The following is a 25,590-nucleotide window of genomic DNA, read 5'->3' as shown; positions in this document are numbered from 1 at the left end:
ATGTATAGTATTTAACAGACGATAAACTGCATCTCAAAGAGAATTCAGCACTTTTAGAAGTTATGTATTCTTTAATATGCCATGGGTTATAATATCATGAATAAAAATGACTGAAATTAAATTCAGACCAGCGGAAGATAACTGCCATCATCATCATCTGTTGAAAACATATCACTGCCAAAGAAATCACTTTCAATATGCACAAAAGTTTGTAAATTGCAATTTGACCCCATTGTATAAATTTCAATAGTCATCTGAAACATCGAAAGAACCCATTTAAAATAATTATGTTGATTCTAAATTGTGCATTCAAATGATATGTTCTGTTCACAGTTAGTGGATATGACAAGAATATATGCCATAAAACTAAGATGAAAAGTTGAAGTTAGTTATCAAGCCTATTGTTAATTTTAAAAATGTAGGTAAGAAAAATGTACCTCTTGAAAATGACTAAAATTTTTTTAAGGTAGAAATTGTTTGGTTATATCTATATATTTATCATATTAGAGATAAAAATTAGCCTTTATTACAGTGAAAGCTCTGTGGAATTCTCTTGGCATAGGAAAATAAATGTCACTCTCCATTAAAATGAAGCGAATGCCTTATTTGGTCAAATCAGCATGCATAATTTAATTAGATGCCCTAATATTCTGCAAAATAGCATGAAAGGGCAGCTCAAATATGTTTAGTAGTTCCGAATATTAGAAGCATTATAGTGAAATGGTATGTGTCCTTACAGAACACTTCACGGTAACATCATTCTGCTCATGACTACAGAGAGGTCTTAGCAAGTTTCTAGTCTTCTCAGTCTGCAAAGCACAACAGTCACAGGGACAACTGGATGTGAAAGTTGAGAGGCAGAGAGCTTGATGAATTTTATAACATGGATCTGAAGAGATCAAGGTTTGCAGGAATCTGGAACTGGTAGGAGCTGCAAAGGATGTGGCTTTGGGGAATGGAGGGTAGAGGGAAAATAGTTCTTGTAATTGAAATTCATTTGGGGGATGAGAAGTTTGATCTCACTTTTGCTTTCATGAAAGTAAGCAAATAGGAAAAGTGATATCTTGTAGTTTATAAAACCCTGGCTATTTGGACAAACCCCGAATTTAGGGTTGGAAGTCAGAGTCAGATGAAACACATCAGTGTCATTTGAGTTTCTCTTGCTCCTCTGGGAGTTGACTTGACCCTAGCTCAACAAGAGCATCAGTGGATGTGAAATGATGTAGATGAACTAAAGACATTGATAAAAAGCTAACATAGAGAGCTTAATGAAAGTCAGACCATTTAAGGCAGCAAAGAACAGAAAAAATCAAAGGGAAATAGTCATAAGAGATATTTGGAGAGCAATGCTCTTGACAGCTTTGGTGTTGGTGATAACTGGATTTTTATTTTTTTAATGTAAAAGATTGTTTCCTTGTGTATGGCTCTCCTACATATCATATACTACATAGTATAATATATATTACTCATATATTACAATATATAATCCACTATGTTTAAAGAAGCCGAAGAACCAATAGTACGTTTGTCATTTTTAGTTGCATTTCAATGGTTCCATAAAGGGTTTAGTATGGTAGGTTTAGCCATACCTTATTATCTCTTCTTGCCAGGTAAGAAAAGAGCATTATTGTCACTTTTATTTTCCCATCTGATAATGTTGGTAAATAGTACATTCTCAATAAATATTTGTTGACTGACTCTTTCAACCTCACAATACATATTATAAGTGAAAAAAGGATTTAAGCCTTTCATGGTGCTGGAGAAAAACATTAGGACAACGTATCAATTGTTACAGGAAGATGGGAGTGACTCTAAGGAAAGGAATTGTACCCTTTTTTATTAAAATGCACTGTATTGAATAAGTCAGAGGTACAGTGAGGCCTAGTTATATATGGTATGATGATAATGATTAAAAGTTGCATCAAAACCAGATGTTTGTCTCTGTGATGAGCCCATATCAGATCTCAATCCATGGGTCCTTTGTCTTTGGTCATTGAAGAAGAGATGTCAAGAAACCCAAGGGCCAGAACGTAACTCGGCATTAAGATTGAAATCTATGACATTGTAGAAAACTCTGCAAGTATACCATTCACATCTCTAGGCTCTGCGTCACTCCTTGTTCTTGCTGATGATTGACTTTCATGACTCTCTAGTGTATATTCTTGTTTAAAATGGGCTATTTTTCCCTTCTTAGTCTATAGGCTGAAGCTAAATCTTAGTCACAATTTTAAAGTCCTAAGAAAAAGACTTGATTAACTGAACTTAGATCAAGTCCCAAACCGGGACTGATACATTGTGGGCTGGGATTACCTCAGTTGCAAACATGTGAATGGAAGGCTACAGTGGAATTTCCGAGAAAAGAGGTGTGGGAATCCTATGCAATAGGCATTCACTGTATTTGTCTATCTTGAGCTGCTGGCAGGAGTTGCGCTCTAAACAAAAAGAAGTAAATACCTTCCAGTATGACTGGATTTTCCTCCCTCCCATGTCCCCATATCATTCCAGATTCCCTTGTCTACACTGAGCCAGTGGATTTGTATTTCATCTGCAAGTTTTCAATCTACAGATGAGTTCTACAATCATTTGAGTATTCAAGTTTGAGTTTAATCCATTTCTGCTTTTTCTCCTTCTACCCAGACCTGAAGCTCAGGTTCCAGCATGCTTCATTGATGACTGTGCCCACTGTACAGTTGTTTTCAATCTCCACTAGCTAAGAAGCATATTGTTATCATTTGCTTTTCATTCCTTGAAATCATCCCTAATGCCAAAGCTTATACTGGACTTTTTTTTTTCTTTTTTTCAGGCTTAATTCACTTTATTTTTCTTGTATAAAAACCCTATGTTGTAGCCACAGCTGGAGCCTGGGTCCTCTGCACTGAGACTCTGGTGTGGGTCTTGAGGAGATGGTCAGTGAATTCCTGATAGGGAGACTTGGTGAATACAGTCTTCTTCCAGAGTCGGGGGTCAGGTAGCTGTAGGTCTTAGAAACAGCATCAAAGGTGGCCTTGACAAAGTTGCCCAGGGTGGCAGTGCAGCCCCTGGCTGAGGTGTAGCAGTCATCGATACCAACCATCATGAGCAGATTCCTGGCCACAGGTGCCGAGACGATGCCAGTGCCCCTGGGAGCGGGGATGAGGCGCACAAGCACAAAGAGGGAGCGGCCTGTCACCTTGCCAGGGACGGTGAGGGGATTGCAGATCTTGTTCCCCCAGTAGCCTCTGCGCACGGGGACAATGGAAAGCTTGGCTAGGATGATGGCCCTGCGGATGACAGTGGCCACCTCCTTGGAGCACTTAACACCCAGACCGACGTGGCCATTGTAGTCCCTGATGGCAACAAACGCCTTGAACCTAGTGCACTGGCTGGCGCGGATCTGCTTCTGCTCCGGCATAATCTTCAAAACCTTGTCCTTGAGAGAGACCCCCAGGAAAAAGTCAATGACCTCAGATTCCTTGATGGGCAGGGAGAAGAGACAGATTTCCTCCAGGGACTTGGTCGAACTCCGCGGCCTCCGCCCAGGCCCTTGCCCTGAATGTCACTGCCAAAACCTCCATGGAAGCCACCGCGGTTCCCCATCCCAGGGCCCCAGGGGGCCTCTGCCCCGCCCCGCCTTCCCGCTGCATCTGCGTCATCCGCCATTTGGTGTTTTCTCAGAAAATACTCTAAATTGGAAATTTTTAACATAACGATCATCTGTTAAAGCAGCCAACTGATGTTACTGTTCCCCTCCCCAGCCCCCAAACCCCTATTCCTTTTAAGCAAAAATTGTCTCAGATTTGTAAAAGTGGAGAAAACAATTTGTCCAGGTGACAGGTATAATTTTATTTACCTGCCAATCTTTCTTCCAATGATTTTATTGCCCTCTTTAGATATAGTACATTAGTCTAAGGCAAGTTCCTATGAAGGACTTTTTTTCTCTGCTTTTAATGTCTTTTAAGACAATCATTAAAATTGCACATCCAGCAACACATTTTCTATCTGATATTTTCTCTGCTTATTCTAAAACTTTAAAATTTTAAGCCTTCCTTGTAGAACTTTCTACTTAAATTATTAATCCAATTTAATTTAAATTTTCATAAGTTATTGAAGAAGATTGCATGTGAGTAGCCAATTTTCAGATTTGGCAAGTTCTAATTCAAGACAGTGCTAATGTGCAGCCTTTGGGTATTAACTTTCCTTAAGTAAAACATGAAATAATTTCTTTCATCCAAGATAAAATGTGGATGGCAGATGCTTTTCAAAGGGTTTAATTAATTATCTCAATTTTAGACCACCCAAGAGTTGGAAGTAGAGTTGGAATTGAATATATAGATACAACTCAAAAGTAATATGATGTCTGGTAGGCCTAACAATTTTCATAATTGAAGTCATTAATAGATAATTTGGTGTGTCTTCGAAAGCCATGTATTCACCTACATTAGGAAGCTAGAGTTATGAAATAAACTGTTATTTATTGTGACTTTGCCTCTATTTTATTTTTCCAGGGTCAATGGGATAATTTCATAAAATTAATTGACCATTAGATACTTTCTTTCATTAAATAAAGTATCAAAGTAGTCATTATCATGGCCTGAGGAATATTTTTGAAAAGAAATAACAGAAAATAAACCTTTGTAAAAAGAAAACCCAAGGAACACCAACAGAAGGTTCAGCAGAAGTTTCCATAAATACATACACTCCCCAAATAGTGTTAAATGCACTTCAGCCTTGAATTCCACTGTGTCACAACCACATACATACTTAGTTAATATAAACGAGGCTAAAACGGCTTAATTGAATCATGTGTGCTATCAGATGAAACATAAATACTAACACAAAAATGAAGTAGATAGGCATTCAGTGGTGTTATTTGAGGGTCATATAAGAATCTCACCTTTTATCAAACATTTCTTCACCAAGTAGTCACATTGCCTAAAATTTTTACGACTGGTTAGTTGAATAGGAAAACATTCACCACTGGATACCCAAATGGGTAAATATACTTATTCATACTGGTGCTGTCCAGTAGAACCACATTACAAAACCAGTCTAGCAGAGCACTGAGCAAACATTTCAGAAAAGCAGGAGCTTATTTTGAAATTTATTTTTGTGTAAAAACATAGCAAAAAAACAAACAAAAACAAAGCCAAAGTTGGCTATTATGTTTTTGAGCTCTTGATCATTCAAGAGCTAAGTGAAAGCATACCAGAAATAAAGTTGTGGATGAAAGACAAATGTAACACCTTGGATAGATAAATGAGATAGCAGAAAGTAGAACTTTCGTTAGGAGTTATGGAGTGGTTCAATTAGATTTTTATAAATTCTGTTTTGCTAGTATGTGGCTGATGATGACATAAGAATAGCTGTGGCCTGAAGTTGTCATGTATGGTCAAGTGATAGCAAGGTATGATAAAGTTGGAGGGTGAGGACAAGAATTGACACAGAGGATAAAAAGAAAAAGGGAAAGAGTGTGGTGGGAGAAACTCTCCTGTTGGAGATCGTTATTAAGTTACCTTTAAGTAGTTAGCCTCTGATATTATGCCCTAAGATTTCTAAATGGTTCCTAGTGCCTTGCTAATGAGTGTACTCAGCAGAGCAGCAGATTCAGCATCTCCCAGGAGATTGTTAGATATGCAGAATTGAAGACAGTGCTTCAGACCTACAGAATCAGAATCTGTATTTTAACAAGGTTCCAAGTACTTCATGTGCATGTTAATTTTGGAGAAGCATTCCTGTTTGGTTATCTAGACGTAAATGCTCAAATGGTGTATTGATAAGTGAAATTTAAACTCTAATAAAAACATTGTTCTTTTATATAATTTTGTGGTTTTAATCTGAGACTAGGCAATAATGACACTTTGTTTTGCTCAATTTAATTCTAAAATATAGAGTATCTATTCACAGGCTGCATTCTGTCTATATAACTCTTTCCCTGTGATTAGAAGACAACGAAAATATACTTTGAGTTTTGTCAGCCTAGGCACTGGAAATTGGGAGATTGCCTATCTTCTCTTTTCCACATGAAGTCAAAGCAGCCACATGAAAAATGGAAAACCATGCCAAGTGCAGTGACATGCACCTGTTGTCTCAGCTACTCAAGAGGCTGAGCAAAGATCACTTGAATTCAGGAGTTTGAGACCAGCCTGGGCAACGCAGAAAGACCCAATCTTTAAAAAAAAAGGAAAAGAAAAAACCAAAATAATGAGTTTTCAAATTTGTTCTACATGAATGATATATGTATTTGAGAAATTCACTGTGTCTGAAGGCTTTTATGTACTCATAAGAAATCTGGCCATCACTCTTAAGAAAGGATAATAGACCAAGAAAAATCAAACACCTTACAGCCACTTAAAGGTAAAAAATCTAAGTTCACAGAAAATGTCATCTCTTACAGAGTTCAATGCAAAATAAGAGGCAGCCTTTTTTAGCTTGTTTACTTCAACTCCCTATGATCTGTCCACATATTCCAATATGTACTCATTGTAAATTCAGAACGGTTAAGAAACGTCCTGCTCAGATAACTCTCGTTTCATCAGATCCCAATTTTCCCACCCAAGGCCCAGACCACCCAAAAAACTGGGCAAAATTACTAGCAAGAACTATATAACTAAAGGTTTTATGCATACCTGTGAAAAGTAGCTATTTCTACAATCATTCTCCCCTTTAGTATGCAAGTTTGAGGTCAAATTAGAAATCTTAACATAATCCAATAATTTATTTGCATGTCCAAGATACAGAATAATTTCATAGTCATCATGAGACATGGTGCTGTTCCTATGCTGCATTGTGACTTACCAACAATCATATTATTTTCCAGATCTCAGTTTCTCTCTTTATATTAAGGAGATAAAAATACTAGTACCACATTCCTCATAGTGTTATTGTGAATATAGGTAACAGTGGGAGTTAAAGAGCTTTGAGATGTATCAAGCGCTATATTAATATAAAAGATTATTATTGGTAAGATATTTTCTTTTATTATTATTATTATTATTATTATTATTTTGAGATGGAGTCTCACTCTGTCACCCAGGCTGGAGTGTAGTGGCATGATCTCGGCTCACTGCAACCTCTGCCTTCCAGGTTCAAGCAATTCCCCTCCCTCAGCCTCCCAAGTATCTGGGACTACAGGTGCATGCCACCATGCCTGGCTAATTTTTGTGTTTTTAGTAGAGACGAGGTTTCGTCATGTTGGCCAGGCTAGTCTCGAACTCCTGACCTCGGGTGATCCACCCGCCTCGGCCTCCCAAAGTGCTGGGATTACAGGCGTGAACTATTGTGCTGGGCTGGTAAGTATGTTTTCTTAAAGACACTGTAGGATTTATAAAGTGGTATGTATTTGGGTTTATTTAATAACATGTAGTTCAGGATGTCCAATTCTGCCATCAATAACATTCATTTTTCAGTAGGTTTTTCTTCAGAAAGTTGAACATAGAAATTGACCATTTTAATGTAGACAGAAATATTTTTACAGGGCAACAACATAGATATACTTCTCTTCACTCTGTTTGGCCTTGAACAATTTTTCAAGAGCACATAGATACAATTTTGAAAGAGTGAGGGAAACATACTCATAAATTAAATTGTTGGTATTATTTTTATTTTCATGACTACTACATTTTGAGTACTTTACTCAATTTCATTTTCTCAATCAATTTATTTACAACTGAATATACTTAATGGCCATTATAAAGTGTATTTAGAATTTTTGAGCTCAGGGCCGGGCACGGTGGCTCACACCTGTAATCCCAGCACTTTGGGAGGCCGATGCGGGCGGATCATGAGGTCAGGAGACTGAGACCATCCTGGCCAACATAGTGAAACCCCATCTCTATTAAAAATACAAAAAAGTAGCCGGGTGAGGTGGCAGGCGCCTGAAGTCCCAGCGACTCGGGAGGCTGAGGCAGGAGAATGGCTTGAACCCGGGAGGTGGAGCTTGCAGTGAGCTGAGATCATGCTACTGCACTCCAGCCTGGGCAACAGAGCAAGACTCCATCTAAAAAAAAAAAAAAAAGAAAAAAAGAATTGTTGAGCTCAATTGTTTTACTGCAAACAAAAAAATTTTAGTCAAAATTAGAATGTTAGATAGTTCTCTGAACATTCAACATCAATATATTTTTTGTTAACTTGTATATTGGGTTTTAGCCTTCAGTGATAATGCAATAGTGTTTCTTTATTTTTTTAATATATAGAACTACATTAATTTTATTGTGACAGGTGATTTTTCCCCTCAAATATACTACTTGAATTATCTTATAATTTTTATAATTATTTAAGCATTCATTCATTCATTTAACAAAGACCTGATTGCTTATTATATGCAATGAAAAGTTCTAAGCACTTGAGAAAAAATAATGATGACCAGTATTCTCTCGTAAGACTCATATTTAGATGGGGAAGGAGAGATAGTAGACAAGTAAATGAACTACTAAGACATTTTCTGATAATAATTGCTATGCAAAACAAAACAAGACAAAAAGTTAGATAGGTAGATGTGTAGGGATCATTCCAAAAAAAAAATCGTTTCTCTGAGCAGTGACATTTGAAGAAAAATACAGATGATGAGGAGGAGCCAGCAGATGAAGATCAAGGGGAAGCACATTGACAGCAGAGAGAACAGCTAATCAAACAGCTTGCAGAATGTCTGAAACTAAGGCCAGTGTGATGGCAGTGCAATGAGAGAGGGGTGGGCAAAAGATGAGATCAGAGTGTGAGGTATGGATTATGACAGGATGATGTTATGTCTTATAGGTCATAGCAATGAATCGGGTGATTAATGTAGATGTAGTGGGAAGCAACTGGAGAATTCTAAGCAAGAAAAGGACATAATATATTTTATGTTTTAAAAGCTAGCTGCTGTTGGAGAACATATTGTGGTGGGAGTGAGTGCATGTGTGGAAGAAGAGTCCAGATGAAGATGATTGCAGTAATGCATGTGGGAGATAATAGTGGTTTCAGTGTGCACAGCAGCAAAAGACATGGTGAGAGGTAATTGCATTTCAAGTCTATTTTAAAGGTAAGCCCCACAATATTCACTTATCTGTGGGCATGCAGAGGAGAAAGAAGGGAATTAAGAAAGATAGGCAGGTTTCAGACTGACCAATTGTTGGGCTGCTATTAACTGAGTTACGAAATAATGAAGAATGAAGAGTGGTGAAAGAAAAGAGGGAAACTCAAGAAAATTAGAAAGCCATCTGACCTAACCCACCTTATAATTTCTATTATTGCATTGTATGTTTGGGATGCCCTCACTTTCACGGACCCCTGGAAAGGAAAGAGGCAATATAAAAACATGTAAGATTTCCTAGAACTCCTCTAGAGTTTAAAGACAGAAGATTCATCTGGGGGAAGAGAAAACAGGTCTCTCTGTTGCTGAGAGTGGGCTTTCAATCCTCTTGAAGAAGAAAGATATTGAATCTACTCTGTCTTCATATTCTAAGACTAGAACGTTAGTTCCCTTAGGAATTCTTCATGCCACTGGACAAATATTGTTCACTGCTGATGCCTCAGTTTCACTTGAAGATTTTAAAAGGTTTGAGGGCAAGTTTAAGAGACTTAACTAAGTAAATTATAATGTTATTCATACATTAAACATTTCCATGCATTTACTTTAATAAAACACTGGAGCTTACAAAAGCAGCCTCCTCAGGGACATTCACAGTTTGCCTTAGAAGTAATGGGACCACTAAAAAGTATTAAGCTGAGGAGTAAAAGAATCAGGTTGCCTTTTTAAAAGATCCATTTGGCTGCAAGTTTGAGAAAGGGTTGTTGCAGTCACAGGGATGCTGAAGTGGAGTTAAGCAAGACTGGAGACAAAAGGGACACCTAATGTTAACTATTATGCATACTGAAGCATGCCTACTATGAATGAGATGCTGCAAAGTGAACAGATGCAAGAGATCTATGGTGCATGCTGATTAGCTGGATATGAAAGCCTATGTAAAGGAAAGGAAGAGATAAATATTAGCCTCTTGTTTTCTGTCTTTGGCCCCTGGTGGATAGTGGTACTATTCGCTGAGATAAGAAACAATAAAAGTTACACAATTTTAAGATGAGATGATGACTTCCGTGTTGGACGTATTGGCTTTGAGATATCAGTGAGCCATCCAAGGGAAGGTGCAGTGGGATCTACAGCTCTGGTGCTCGAGAGAAAGTTCTGGTCTGCAGATAGAAATGTGGAAATCATTAGTACAGAATTGCAAATGAAACTGTGTAGGTGAATGAGATGACTGAAAGAGAGTCTTGTGGAGTGAGAAGAGAATATGGTCTACGGGAGATTCTGAAAAATACAAATATTCAAGAGGCAAGAGGAGGAAACACAGGAAACATAGGGAAGATGTGACAAAAGCCAGAACACATGAGGCTGAAGGAGAACACCTTAGGAAACAGAGTGGCCAACTGCACAAACATTTTTTTTATGTATACTTTAAGTTCTAGGGTACATGTGCACAACGTGCAGGTTTGTTACATATGTATACATGTGCCATGTTTGTTTACTGCACCCATTAATTCATCATTTACACTAGGTATTCCTCCCAATGCTATCCCTCTCCCATCTCCCTACCCCGCAACAGGCCCCAGTGTGTGATGTTCCCTGCGCTGTGTCCAAGTGTTCTCGTTGTTCAATTCCCAACTATGAGTGAGAACATGCGGTGTTTGGTTTTCTGTCCTTGTGATAGTTTGCTCAGAATGATGGTTTCCAGCTTCATCCATGTCCCTACAAAGGACATGAACTCATCCTTTTATATGGCTGCATAGTATTCCATGGTGTATACGTGCCCCAACCCAAATGTCCACAAACATTTTAGAGAAGCCAAAGACTGAAAATTGTTCATAGGTTTTAGTAGCACAGAGGTATTTCTCAAAAATCAGTATGATGAGGACAGAAGCCAGATTGATTAAGTAGAGAAACAAAAGGAAATGAAGCAGTAATAGTGAGTATCACTAAATCTTTGAAGAGATTTACCCAGGAAGGGTAGAAGACAGGAAGCAGGACCTGGTATCTATGGAGGAGATTTTTAAATATTAAAGAAAAAAACAGCATTTTTTAAATGCTAATATCAATGAGTTTAGTAGGCAGGGACATGTTGACAATTTGAGAAAGATAAAAACATCTAAGAAAAAATTTCCAAGTAGGTAGAAGAGATTGATATCCATGTACACAGTGAGTGATCTGCCTTGAAAAGGTTGAAAAACAACTTTTCCATTGTGATGAGAATAAATAAGAAAAAGTTGAATCTACATATGGCAAGTTCATTGGTTCTCCTGAGACTAAGAAGGCAACACAATCTGGTGAGAATGCAGAGTAGAGGTGGTGGAGAAAAGATTGGATAGCATTGTGGAAAATGATAAAAAGAGCTGATTGGGGAAACATAGATTTTTAATATAGCACTGAGTAACTGGTCAAATCTGGAGACTATTGGCCTATAGTAACATCCTTTCTAGGCTTAAGAGACTTTTCTCCAGCAGCTCTTAGAAAGCCCAGAATAGCTTAGAAAAGTTTAGGCTGGGCGCAGTGGCTCACGCCTGTAATCCCAACACTTTGGGAGGCCAAGGCGGGTGGATCACAAGGTCAGGAGATCGAGACCATCCTGGCTAACATGGTGAAACCCTGTCTCTACTAAAAATATGAAAAATTAGCCAGGCGTGGTGGTGGATGCCTGTAGTCCCAGCTACTAGGGAGGCTGAGGCAGGAGAATGACATCAACCCGGGAGGCAGAGGTTGCAGTGAGCTGAGATCGCGCCACTGTACTCCAGCCTGAGCGACAGAGTGAGACTCCGTCTCAAAAAAAAAAAAAAAAAAAAAAGAAAAGTTTAACAGTTGGATTGATTCAAAATCTGGTTTCCTTGGGAGGAGGAGGCCATCAGAAGAAAAACAGGGCAAGAAAGTTCAGGACACTGTATGAAATCATGAATCATGAACTCTAAGAGAAAATGAAGTATGAAAGGAAAGAGGAGAAAAGGAATGAAGGGGGTAATAGATAAGGAGAAAATGTAGACACCAAAGGATTGAAGGTATCAGAGAAGCTGAAAAACAAAGCATAGTGATAAAGAGTTGGAAACATTGAAGATGGTGATTAGAAAGTAGGCGGTCTGGGCTGGGCGCTGTGGCTCACGCCTGTAATCCCAGCACTTTGGGAGGCCGAGGCAGGTGGATCATCTGAGGTCGGGAGTTCGAGACCAGCCTGACCAACATGGAGAAACCGCATCTCTACTAAAAATACAAAATTAGCCAGGCGTGGTGGAGTGCGCCTGTATCCCCAGCTACTCGGGAGGCTGAGGCAGGAGAATCGCTTGAACCCGGGAGGCGGATGTTGGGGTGAGCCGAGATTGTGCCATTGCACTCCAGCCTGGGCAACAAGAGCAAAACTCCATCTCAAAAAAAGAAAAAATAAATAAATAATAAAATTTTCCAAGCTTTAACACATGAGCATGGGGTGATTGTCATGGGGAGTGGCGGTGAACCTCATCAAAATTGAGGAAGTTGCTGAACTGAGACATTAGAGTGTTGAATAGATTGCCCTTGTGAACACCGAACTAAAGCAGGACTAGACAAAAAGGAAATCCGCAAAACAGTAAATGAGAGGAATGAAGGAGAAGTTGGTAGATGACAGCAGAGAGGACTGAGGTTAAGTGTGTGCTAATACCATGACCATCAGTTTAGTTAGTATAAGTGTTGTATGTGATTGATTTAGACCAATATTAGGGAGACTCTGTGGTCTCATAATAATTTTCCTACTTGTTCTCCAGTGTCTGATTCACTTTTTTAGACTATATTTTAAAGTGCTAAGTTTTTAAAAAATATGTTCGCATTACCTCACCAGATTTATTTCTGATCTGTTGTGTACCAGTGAATAGGTCACTGAAGGCCAAAAAAAAGAAAATCAAATATTTATCTCATCTCTACTGTGATGGGCATTATGCAGGATTAAAATGTAACAAGATACAGCTCAGTCTTTGAAATATTTGTGATATAATAGAGAAGCTTATTTGATGAAGATAAGGAGAACATAATGTTATCACATGCTCACTATATGAGAGGGCTGACCTGGAAGGGTTCGGGACAGCATGAGGTAGGTGATTGGATTGTGGATCCAGGAAAGTAAGCAGCACTTATGGAAAGAAGCAAAAGTATTCAAAACAGAAGAGGACTAAAAACTCTCTTCCGATGCTATCTGGGACCTGCCTAACCTGTCCTATATGATACTCTGAGCAACAGCAATGTGTGCTTTAGAAAGTGCAGGTGAAGATGCTGTTGCACTTCAGTAATCACCTCCCATCTACAAACAAACCCCACAAGGGTTGCGGGAGCCAATGCAAATTTCCCATTTGTATGATTACAGCTGCTGCAGGAGGGTTACAATTCAGGAAACTCCTTGGTGGCTCTTGATATCTGGCTGAAATGGAATTTTTGACACTATTTTTGAAATGATCTGGTACTTATTCTGCTAAACAGTGGGTTTCAGATTTTGAACCAGCAGTAGGACTCATTAATACCCAGGCTGATGTTCTGAGAGCATGTGCCCCTTCAACTGATGTGGAAGCTCCTATGATTGCAAGACCCTGTGTGAGGCTGCTTGTAGGGCCCCAAGATAAATATGGTTCCATGACTGCTCCTCTGATGCTTATTTCCAGTCCCCTATGGATCACTTAATGGTATGATCTGGGTCTGAACCAAACAGACCCAGATAATGACATGACCACAGTTAATATTCCATATTTATGCCAAAATATTCTAATATATTAGACAAGAAAAAAAAAATGGAAAAATCAAGTCTTATTTAACACTGTGATGAGAATCCATATAGTGTGTAAAACAGATCAGAGCTGATTTGAATCACATGCTACCAGCTACCATCTACATAATACTGAGTAGTATACACCTCATTTCCTCATCAATGAAATCAGCAAAATAGAATAATTGACTCATTAACAGTTGTGAGAACTGAATGAGGGGCTCTAAAGGGTTTTGCACATTACTTGCCATACAGTAGGAAGGAACCTATAAGTGACAACCATCATTATTTGGAAGGACACATACCTAGTTGGAAAAAGTAGGTATGGAATCAGCCACTTGGGTTCAAATCCAGGCACTACCATGGTAGTAAAACATTTGAGTCTGTTTTTGCCGAGGAGAAATGAAAGTAGTCAAACTTATTCTATGGGTTGTACAATTATTGAATTAAATGAGAAGGTAACTGGCTCTTAGTAGGTACGTAAGACAGAGCAAACTAGTATTTATTTCAATGTTTCCTTCATTTATTTTGCATAACACGGTGGATCAGTGTTATGAAGAGAGTCACTACTGTCAGAGGCTACATTCCTCACCTTTAACATAGGGAATGTGAGACTTGATGACTTCTAAGGTAGTTTACAGCCTCTAAATCTTTACAAACACATTTAAGTATTTTTAAGGAATTGGGTGAATTAAAGAATCCTAGCAAAACTAAAAATACCTTCTGACTGGCAGTTTCTGGACATTCTGCCTTACATAAAGTGGTAAATTAAAGAGTGACTTTGATGGAGAAATATATTTCTTCTTTATCCCTTCTTAGTTAAAGCCCCTTATTTGATTTGTTTTGATATTGTTGCCTTTTATTATTTCCCAGAGTTATTTCTAGCCCTCCTTTCTCCAAAATGTAATAATTACTCAAAAGTTAATTCTGTTGTTGGTGTCACTAATGGACAATTTAGTTTATTAGTTTAGAACTACAATAAAGTCTCTGTAAATGTAAAAATAAAATTTGAAAATGCGTCATTGAAAATAATTGATTTTGTGCTTCAAAACATGACAGTTCTGCAAAGGAATATGATGATAATTTACTTTCTGTCACTTCCAAGGTTAACTGAAGGGAGAAAAAAATACAAAAAACATTTTTTCTGACAGGCAAACAGGCAAATTATAGACAAAACTGCAGGGCAGGGGGATAAAAAGAAAAAAGAAATCTTAAAAAAGCTGAGCTTCCAATCACCTCCCACCAGTCTCTGTGAAGGATGACTTCAGTCCCTTTCTTAACTAATTCTGTCACTGTAAAATCCTACAGTCATTCTTCCACACATAGAGGACAAATAAGCTCAAGAGGAGGATCTAGATGCTTTCAGTTTTAACTATTCACCAATGGTGGAAAAGGCAGAATGCCTAAGCTATGTCTTTGTGGCCAATAGGATAGCTCTGTATCTCTCACATGACTCACTGCCCCTGTCTTTCACATGGGCTGTAATTTAGTTCAATTCAGAACTGCAGATAGTACAGCTTCCACAGGAGCAAGGGATGTCTGAGCACAAGTGGCTGAGTTCCGAGTGACTTTATGAAGCACTTTCTACCTTCCTCTCCGGCATGAAAACAGGGATTCTGCACCTGCATCATGGACAGTCTGGCAAAAGCCTCTGCTCTGCCTCCGGGGACAAGAAACTAGAGCAAATAACCGTTTTGAAATTGTAAGTATACCTTTCTTTCCGTCAAGTGTACTGATTAAAATAGTTTTATGTCATAAACATCCAATATTTGAAGATTTCTTAAGGGTACTCTTTCATGTGTATATTGAAGGTTATTCAGCTGGCAGGAAAATATTCCAGGGACAATTGTTGCATACTTTATTCTGTTGAGGATAAAGAATTAAAAATAAAAGTCAGGCATTCCAAAGAGTAGCTGTAGGAGGCTGTGCGCTGGAACATCGCTCTAGTGTGCTGCTTTGTTCATAAGAAAAAATGAAGGCACACGCATATGTACTTAGTTCACTTCTTTTTGCTCTTTATGTCTAATCAGATTTGCTCTGTCCCCAAGAAAAATAAAAGACAAACTTTGCTGACTCCACTGACAAGGGCACCATAGACTTTCCAGACATCTGACAGTTATTATAATTAGCTATGAAAGACTGCAAAGACACTTGGGGGCAAATAGCTCTTAAATTCTGAACAATGGCTTCAAGCCAGGGCTTTATATGTTTTTTTAACCACCACTTTTAATTTTATAATAAGGATAGAGACTGAACTGGTTTCGGTGTTGTAGTCCACACAATGTGAAATAAAGTCCCAGCAGAAGTGAAGGCGACTGAAAGTGGCCAGTGTAAAGACAGAAGGAAAAGACAGCTTTCTGTCTTAGGATCTAGCCTTCCATGTATAAAGATTTTTTTTTTTTTTGAAATTCCTAATAGGGTGGAGTGAGGATGTGGGGGTGGGGAGGAAGCATGCGGAAGCTTCTTTATAGAAGAATGCTTGAAGAATAAAATAATTTGGCATTTCTTCTTTCTAGCAAGCAAAAGATATGATTAGCATCTAAGTTCCTTACATTCATAGTGAGGTTTTTTGATGGAGTTCAAACAGAAGCAACATACAATGCAGTTTTTAAATTTATAAAATAATTGGAAACAAATGGATAGAATGTTCCTGCATTACTGCTTTCTTTTTATATTCAGCTACAGTAATCTAGCAATACATTATGCCTTTACTTTTAGAATTATCCACATCCTTAAAAAGTTATAAGCTAAGTCTTATAAGAAATTAAAAGGCAAATCACACCAGTGTGATTATGACTGATGAAGATTTTGAATGACAAAGCCTCCAACAAAAAGAGTTTGTGAAAAACATTGTCCTCCTCATTTTTAAAAGAGAATATTAACTCCATCAATTATTGAAAGGAATTATTCAAAGGCTCCAGACATAACTAATTATGGCTTAAAGAGAGCTGCCAGAGCAGAGCCTGTGTTCTAATTATAAAAGTCCAAGACGTTAGGATTCATTTTCTTAAGGAGGGCTTGAAAATAAATACAAATTTTCACATAATCTTATAAAAATACACCATTTTTTTTCTTTGTCTGCTCTCATGTTATCTACACCTCCCCCACCGCCGCCCACTGTGTGCTGAGACACCTGAAGGCTAGACATAATGATCAACAGAGCTCCAGCCTGTCTGGACTCCAGCCAGATTTTTTTCCCCTTCTACAATCAAGGAGCTTGCACGCAATGCATGCCGAGCCTATTCCACTGCTATGTGCAGATCCGGGATGGAAGTCTTACACATACTGCGGAAAGATTAAAGACAACAATATCCCCTTTCTCTTACCCTAGACAGCCTCAATTTTTAACCCTTTCATTACCTTTGAAACCAAGACGTCTTACCCATTCAAAGGCAGGTCTCAAGGGACTTTGCAACTCCCGCACCACATCATACAGATGCACATGCCTCATTTGGTGTAGAAATCTCATCTCAACAGATCTTATCAGAATATTTTAGGAACTAATAGTGTGCTAACTAAACATAATGTAATTTGTTTGTGTGGGGAATGCATGTTTGAATGAACTTATGCTGCATGAAATCTGGAACAAGTCAAAGGTCTGTCGAAAGATTCTTGCAAACCTTGCAGAAGGTTATATACCATTTCTGATGATGCTGTTCTTTAAGCATCTTTCTCTCTCTCTCTCCTCACACACACACATACATACACACATACTCGCTCTCTTTTCTCTTTCTCTATCTCAAGATGCACACACTCAACCAGGAAATTATATCATTATATCACAGAGAAATCCAGGTTAGCTGGTGATGTCATCATATATAAAATTTTGCCTTTGTGGGCAACATTTTCAATCACCTAATCGCTAATGTATGTTGGGTGTGTGCCCATAGGAAGTTCACGTGCTCGTGGGGTTAACCGACACCCACAGGAAAGGACTATTTTATTCGCAGCTATCTTTCTTTTGAAGATGTGTTTATGGGGCAGGATGGGTATGTTTATCAAGATAGATGTAGTCAGAGTTTCCTGGTTCTAGGAAGCCTTATTAATATGCTGTTTGAACATTTGAAAGGTGGCTGAATTTCAATGATATAAATAGGATGTAGAAATGGTGAGCATTTTGAAATCAAGTTGGATAAAAATGCTACAATACTTCAATTTATTATGACTTGGTGTTTTTTATTCGCCACTTAACATTTTGTAACAATTAAATCCTTTTTACTTTTAACTTATTTCTTTAGGAGAGAACAGTTTTGTACCAATGATTTAGAAGTAATGCTCTCTCATGTGCTTTTATAAGGGTATATCTATGGATTAGATAGTAGTTGAATTAACTTTCGTGTGAGCTAGTTCAGGGTTTGTATTTATTTTCAAGTCTGTTTTATGGGTCTTATACTGGATAGTTACTCACCAAACATGTGCTCAGATTTTTATTAATGCACACATTTCAGTACATTATTTTATTTCACTCCAATAAAGTTTAATACTTTTACCAAAACATATTGCCAGATTTGAGAGGTAGATATAGAACAACTCTGTATACATTCTACCCCTTAACTACCAAGTTTTGATGTGTAATTTAAATTAATCTTCATTAGAATAGAATGACTGCTATACTTACCAGTTTTTACATACCACGTATCTGATACATGAGTTTTAAAATTTTGGAATTTGCTCTTAATACTTCTTCATTCTTGCGTACTAAAAAGCAATTAATCTGAAAGGAATTTCAAAGCATATATGTATAAACAGCACTACGTATATGTCAACAAATTAATAAGATTCATTTTGCCAATGTATTTTGTGACTGTTTTAAAACAAATGAAAAAATGTTTTGTTCTTTTTCTGCTTTCATGTTACTATTGTTAAGAAAAGTATGTAGCTAAAGAATTGACACATTTTGTACTTAGAGAAAACAAGCTACACAAGTTAGATGACAGTCTATAGGGTAAGACTCCACTATGAACTAATAAATAACTTCGTTAAGAAATTCTTGGCCTAACTCTGTAATTTTGACATAAACAGTTCTTCCAACATATAGTGGAAGATTGATGATTAATTATATAATTTCCTTATCAAAGATTAAAATGGGCAAATAGTTGTGTTTAAATTTTACCTACTTTCAAAAAACAATACATGACATTGCCCATTGGGTACAGGTTACTGAAAAGGCATCTTTCAAAGACAAGAAGATAATGGACTTGATTGAAATAGTTGAACTACGTAACGCCAATTCAAGAACAAATGGTTTTTCAGAGCATAACGGAGAAAGAACAATTTACTATAGTACAGTTTATTCTTCTTACACAATGGCAATGATTTATTTGAAATGGCAGAACAAACATAGTAGATATACAAAAACAACCAGTGGGCATTTTATGTCAAAGATATGTCAAGAGGCTTTTGTTTCATATATTAGAATATTTTAATCCAAGTATTTATCTGAAGACTTAGCTTAAATCTACATCGTTGTTTAGCATGTGCTGATATTATGATCATGTATGTCTCTTACATGCATGTAGCATATTTAGTATATATATATATGTATATATATATATAATGTATTTGAATATAGTCTTCTGACCCCAAATAATTGTTGTCACTTTATAATAAGAGTTCTTGAAGACTACTAATGTACTTCAATACAATAAAATTCAGATTGCGATATCAACTAGCTATGTCTATACTACCAGAAGGGCATTATCAGATATTGGATGAATTAATGTATTGATGTTATAATTACCACAAATACCTCATGTCAAAGAAGAATATCAAAAGATATGACTCTAATTTGACAAACAGTATAAAATGTGATTTTTAAAACCATCTCTGTTTCTTACTACCATGAAAATGATTTGCAAAAGAAGACTCAACACTTAAAATTTCTCTTCATGAAAAGAGAATTTTTTTTAACTTAGCCTTTAGGCATAGGGCCTGAAATTATTGTGAGTAGATACCTGAGCACTGTGCAGAGAATGCACAGGAACCTCAAGTTGCGATGAGAAAACAAGGGAAACTGGTTTGGCTGCTTTATGTTTCAAATTTTATTCTTGCAATCCTACATGACGACAATACTCAAAATTAATTTGAGTGAAAACTATCAAAGTTATTTTCACAATTTTCAAAAGATCCACTGTCTTGTTGACACTCTATGAAGGAAAAGTGTTCTAAAAATGATTGAATGTTCTACTGAGTGAAACTCAGTCAAGCTCAGTGAGGCGCTGGGGTCAAATGGGCTCATGAATCACAGATAGGAAATGAACTGTGTATTGCATATTTGAAAGTTTAAAAAGAAACATTTGGGATATTTTACCGTAAACAGATTTTGGTTTGATTTCTGGCACATCTTTTTAAACATCAAGACTGCAGTTCAGCTGAAATAACTTTTTATATGTATAGCTAAGACCAGATGGCCACGTGCTCCTTTCTTATTTAGATGAGACTTTTCCTTTCAATAACATCTTTCTTCCTGACCTGCTTAAAAATTCCAGCGAATGAAATCAGCACAGGATTTTCAATTCTAATTGACCATGTGCAGAGGAAGGGCCAGTAGAGAAATCAGTAGAGGCATTGTGAGGCTCACTGCCTCAGTTTTGTCTTTGTGTTTTACCATTACAAGCCAATCTAGACTAATCAAAAGCATTTAATTTTTATTAATATTAATATAGCTGCAAGATTTGTCTTCAATGAAAATTATTTGAGTTGGCTTTTTCTATCATTTTATCACAAGTAATTCTTTTAAGTTATTATTCGCTTACACAGTTTCAACTGTCTAGTAAGCACTTTATTGGTTAAAAAATAAAATATTGGTTGAATTAAGATGAAAGAATGGTTGTACTAAATTAATTTTTCTTGTTATTTAAAAAAACATTATTTTTGGAAGATACATATGCTTTTTAAATTTACCATGAAAATATTCACTATATAATATTCTTGGTTCATTATCTGTATAGTCATTTTATAAAGAAAATATTTTTATGTAAATTTTATTTGAACTTGGACCAGTAAAAAAAATCAAGAATAGAACGTGAGCTCCATATTCAGTATAGCTCAGCGAATTACGTATGTATTAAAAGTGGGCATCTAAGTTCCCAGAATTTTTTTCTTTTTGAAAAATTCTTGACTCAAATAATTATCTTAATTAATTACTGCAAAGAGTCAAAGATTTTTTTAAAAGACATTTATTATTCGAATGGTGAAAATATTAGATGAAAACAAGTTATCCAGACATATTGACATTTGTTTGCCTAATAAAGATAGAAAAAACCATAAACCAAAGGTGTATACTTTAAAAATATATAATAGAGTTAAGAAAAACTCCAAATTAATTATCAGGGTTTTTGAAGTGGTCTCAGGGCAACACTCTATCTGATTGGGTGTTCTTTGCTCATTCTTCATCAGGTACTTTATATCTCAAGCAAATCTATTAGTTGTCCAAAAATATGTGCTGCCTAATCATCAAAAGCCATGTTTTTTCAATTGTTTGAAAAGTGCAAGTCTTATGAATGATAAGATCAATTATAATTTTTTTAAATCAAAATTTCAGAGAAAACTGAACTGTATTTGTTCATGGGATTCACAAATATAAAGACATGTTCTAAGCCACCAAAATATGAAGTAAATTCTTTATGAACATGGAAAATTTAAATATCTGAGATCATCTTTTATATATATGTGTGTGTATATATATATTCAATCTATATAGAGAGAATATATAATTATATATATGTTCTGTGAATCAATTTGTGCTTCCAAAATATAAGAATTTTCCAATATTTGATGATTTTCCCATCAATTTAGGAATTATAAAAACCCATTAGAAAAATTAAGGGCAGTGATTTAGCCAATTCTTGTTTTCCTACCTCAAATAAATACAATATTTTTAGAAACTTAAGAAATCAAACAAAATATACACACAAAAAAAGCATAAAAGTATTACATTATACAAATTTCTAGTTTTGCTTTACTTTTAAAACTATACATTTTAATAGTGCTGAATCTAACTTTGTTGGTGGGAGGTAATGGATAATAGAATCTTGGGGGAAAAAACAGTAAAATTACATCGGTGTTATAATTTCAGATGGTTGAAGCTAAGATGTTCTGGACAGATAGTTTTAAATAAGGAATAGAACTCTGAGCTACTCCCATTTTTCTCCTTTTCCTTGTTACTCTGGAAAAATTGGTCTTGATCCTGCAAGATTGTAGATAATCAAAAATATTACATAAAATAAGAAACACTTTCTACTTATCTTTGAAATAAGTTTTGGTACTTTTATTTGTGTTGGGTCATGGTTGAGATTTACTGCTCTGTTTCCATGTATCCTGATTCTGTAGGCGAACAGAGCATAAAAAAATAGGGCCAGTTAGGGAAGCTTTGCAATCGTGCAAAATGTCTGCCCCTTGCTGTATCCTCTTTCCTGTTCTCTAAGACTGCGACAATCAGTTAGGAACAGCAATCCTTGAGAAACCCAGGCCTCTTTTAACTCTCCAGGGACACTACTTCTATCTGTTTTCATGCTCCTTCTAAAGGATCCTCCTTCAGACTATAGCACACTTCCTGAACTTCCACCCAGTTTGCTACATTCCCAGTCATTTCTGCTTAGTTAGGACTTTGCCTCACCCTCAATGGTGCTCTTTATGTTTCACACGCAGAGCTGTCTTCTTAAATTTTTGTTTTAAAATGTTATATTTTTAACTCTAAGGGAAACAGGGTTAACAGGGTAGACATGACATCAAAAGGATAAATGTAGGGACCGACGCAGATGTCTTTGGCATTCTGAAAATCTGCAGTGTAGTAGACAGAATAATACGATTACACTGAATTTGATTGGGCAGCTCTCACTTCTGGTTCATGAAGTGTTCCCACTTCAGAGTGGAAGGCTTCTCTCAACTAATGCACTTGAAGTAGATGCTCGACTCATTCTTGTGGTTTATACTTGATTCGGTATATTTCCTGTAGGGAAATTACTGTTTTAACTTAAAGGAACTAACTTCTCCTTCAGCAAATGTTGGACTAGAAAAATAAAAGACAAGTATGAAAAGAGGAGACTATGCCAATAAGAATATCAGGGTGTAAACTGTATCAAATAATTTGAAATTAGAAGAGTATGTCAAAAATTGGTTATAGACATTTTTATTATACCTATGAATTATCAAGAAACTCATGAAAATACAACCACTGTGTGATGGGAAAACAGAAGTAAAAATTCCTTGCAAGGTTTTAAGTATTAATTTAATTCTATTGCTTTAAAAACATTTATAAAAGAGACATAATTCACTGATTTGTATAATTGTTTGATTGGCTTGTTACTATTAGTTATCTATTCAAAATATATTGGGAGAAAATGAAACACTCAGTCACTACTCTGGTTATTATGAGCCACTTTACAAAGTGCCTCTTGCCCTGAAAAGAGTTAACGATTTAAGCTGACAACAGTGACTATGAAGAAATTCATTATTTGGTTAGTCTGAGGACAGAAAGGGGTTAATTTTTCAAATCTTTTTGAAGGGGGCAGTGGGGGGAAACTGAAAGATGAAAACCAAACCAAAGACTAAGCTGCTAGTGATTTGGTTGTATTTATGGATTATACTACATGTTGAAAAGAGGAAAATCAGAGCTGTAAGATGACGCTGCAGGGGTCGTCTGGACTTTTCACTGAGTCCAAAGTCTATTTAGTCAATGCTTATTAAGGACTGGTTTTGACCTTTGCCCTTCTCACTCCTCCCTGTTCCAGGTGCAACATTTTTGCAAGTGCTTGACCATTATTAGACACTATGTGCAAACTTTAATTGTGAACGGAGTGTGTTGAACATAGCAAATAATCCAGTAGCTATGATGCTCACATTTTTATTAAAAACTTTAAAAACTCAGTAAACTTAGATTCGTTTCCTTTTATAATTAATAAATAGTGCATATTGCTCTTCTTCAAGATATAAGGCTATTCAAGTGCAACTTACATTTAAACCAGATTACTACATTTGTTGTTAGAAAGAATTCTTGTAAGAATATATCTAAAATAGTGATTTCTATTTAAGCTACTTTACTTTGAGGGGGACATAGAAAACTTTATATAATTATTTCCTCTATGTTTTCACACATACACTTTTAGTAATAAATAAAGCTCTTCTATTCTAGGCTTATATTTGTTTAAAGGATTAATTTTATTTTTAAAAATTATAAACTAAGAGATGAATACACCAACTACTTTAGTGTTTTTAGTAAACAATTTTTACTACAACATTTTATAAAATATATTTATGTATTTACATGGTGTTTGATAAATATAAATGAGCATCCATTTATACATACTAATTAATAGATTTTTTTAACAAACCAACCATATATATGCCTCTAAAATCTAATGCTATTATATGTAACATGCATAAACATATGAAATGACTCTATATTAACTATATAAACATAAAAAGGGGAAATAAAGTTTTGCAAGTATTGGATTACATTAATAACATTCAGAATTTTACTTTACTTTTCTGCTGAATGCTTTGTTTAGCAAAGAATTATCCAAATTACATAAATTCATGTATTTTAAATACATGGCTTTGAATTGTGAAGACAATAAAATATCTAACTTGAGGAAAAGGTTGGTTTTAAAATTTCACTGGAGAAATAATATATAAGCATTTCTTTTAGCTAGAAATTTAAAATGTAGAAGAAACTTTATTTTACATTTTGAAATATTTTAAACTACACAGAAAAGTAAAGCAATATGATATACATATCCATATTTCCACGATCAAGATTTATAATTTATAATATTTTGCTATACTTACCCCCAAATTATTAAAAAAAGAACTATTTATATACAGTTGAAGACTCCCATCCTCATTTCATATCCTGATTTCCCTCTGGCTATGGAAGTAATCACTATCTCATAGTTTGCAACTTATCTTTCTTGTCTCTATTTTTACATTTTAATCACCTACATATCAGAAACAATAAAAAGAATGAGGTATCAAATATATAATTCCTAACTAGTTTTTAAATTTGTCTTTAAGTTATTGAAATTTTTCAAATAAATATATTCATTGGATACTGTACTTATTAATATATTTTTAGTTTAAAACTATAACGTTGATTAAAGATTTAAATTAAAAGATCTTTCCACCTGCTTCAACTAACTTTCATGGTTGCAGAAATTGAGAAAATATGCCTCATGCCTTTATTTTATTCAAATTCTTTGGAATTAAGTCTTACATTTTAGCTATTTTTATGTTACATAAGGAATTGGTAATATGGTTAAAATATTATTCTTTAACATTATTTCTGTTTCTCCCATTTTATTGTTTTCATAAAGAAGAATGTATTACAGTTAGCTCCATGCATTAATTTTCATATGCCACACTCTCAAAGGATTATTGTAAAATATTCTAACAATCCCTAAGAATTGTCTTTTGTTGGCCAAGAAAATAGCACCAATATCATAGTTAAAGAAAGAGCATTGACAGTAGGGTTGCTTTTTGGAACTAGATTTTCCTTTAAAAAGGGGCAAACGCAATTCTGAACAAGTGTACTGAAACCAAGATCCTTATTTGAATACAGTATTACTGCAGATTTACATGAACCATGTGGTAATGCATTGCCATACAAACCTCTAATGCTCTGAGTCTGCCACGGCATCAGAGTAGAAATCTGCATCAGCACCTTTCCTATCATGTATGATCCTAAACATAATCTATAGACAAAAAAACTTCAGATGTACGTAAAGGTGAGTTTAAATGATTTGCCCCCTATTAATACTTTCCTCACTAATTAAATTATCTAGGTAGCAATATATCAAGAGATACCTATAGTCAATTTAAAACTTTAGTCAAGTTCTTAATGCCTAAAACATGTAAGCAACTGTACTACCTTTGTTAG

General features: G+C 35.8%; 1 long non-coding RNA gene and 1 pseudogene across 1 annotated transcript in view, besides 3 other annotated features; one reads left to right on the top strand and one right to left on the bottom strand.

Annotated features, from left to right (window-relative positions):
* RPS2P9 (ribosomal protein S2 pseudogene 9) lies at nucleotides 2,801-3,496 on the bottom strand (annotated as a pseudogene).
* Nucleotides 14,914-14,963: an enhancer, noted in NCBI's record as "active region_2288". NCBI's record gives its function as "activates an Ori minimal core promoter by ATAC-STARR-seq in GM12878 lymphoblastoid cells {active_cell/tissue: GM12878}" and the evidence as "EXISTENCE:reporter gene assay evidence [ECO:0000049][PMID:35858748]".
* Nucleotides 15,214-25,590, top strand: part of MIR181A1HG (MIR181A1 host gene) — a 129,427-nt gene continuing 119,050 nt past the window's right edge. The window contains exon 1 of the long non-coding RNA NR_040073.1: nucleotides 15,214-15,417. This is a non-coding gene — a long non-coding RNA (MIR181A1 host gene). The remainder of the gene's footprint in view (nucleotides 15,418-25,590) is intronic.
* Nucleotides 15,364-15,423: an enhancer, noted in NCBI's record as "active region_2287". NCBI's record gives its function as "activates an Ori minimal core promoter by ATAC-STARR-seq in GM12878 lymphoblastoid cells {active_cell/tissue: GM12878}" and the evidence as "EXISTENCE:reporter gene assay evidence [ECO:0000049][PMID:35858748]".
* Nucleotides 23,484-23,533: an enhancer, noted in NCBI's record as "active region_2286". NCBI's record gives its function as "activates an Ori minimal core promoter by ATAC-STARR-seq in GM12878 lymphoblastoid cells {active_cell/tissue: GM12878}" and the evidence as "EXISTENCE:reporter gene assay evidence [ECO:0000049][PMID:35858748]".

Source organism: Homo sapiens, chromosome 1, assembly GCF_000001405.40.
Source record: "Homo sapiens chromosome 1, GRCh38.p14 Primary Assembly".
NCBI lineage: Eukaryota > Metazoa > Chordata > Mammalia > Primates > Hominidae > Homo > Homo sapiens.
Note: the sequence above shows the minus strand (reverse complement) of the source record. Positions and strands in the feature narration are given on the sequence as shown.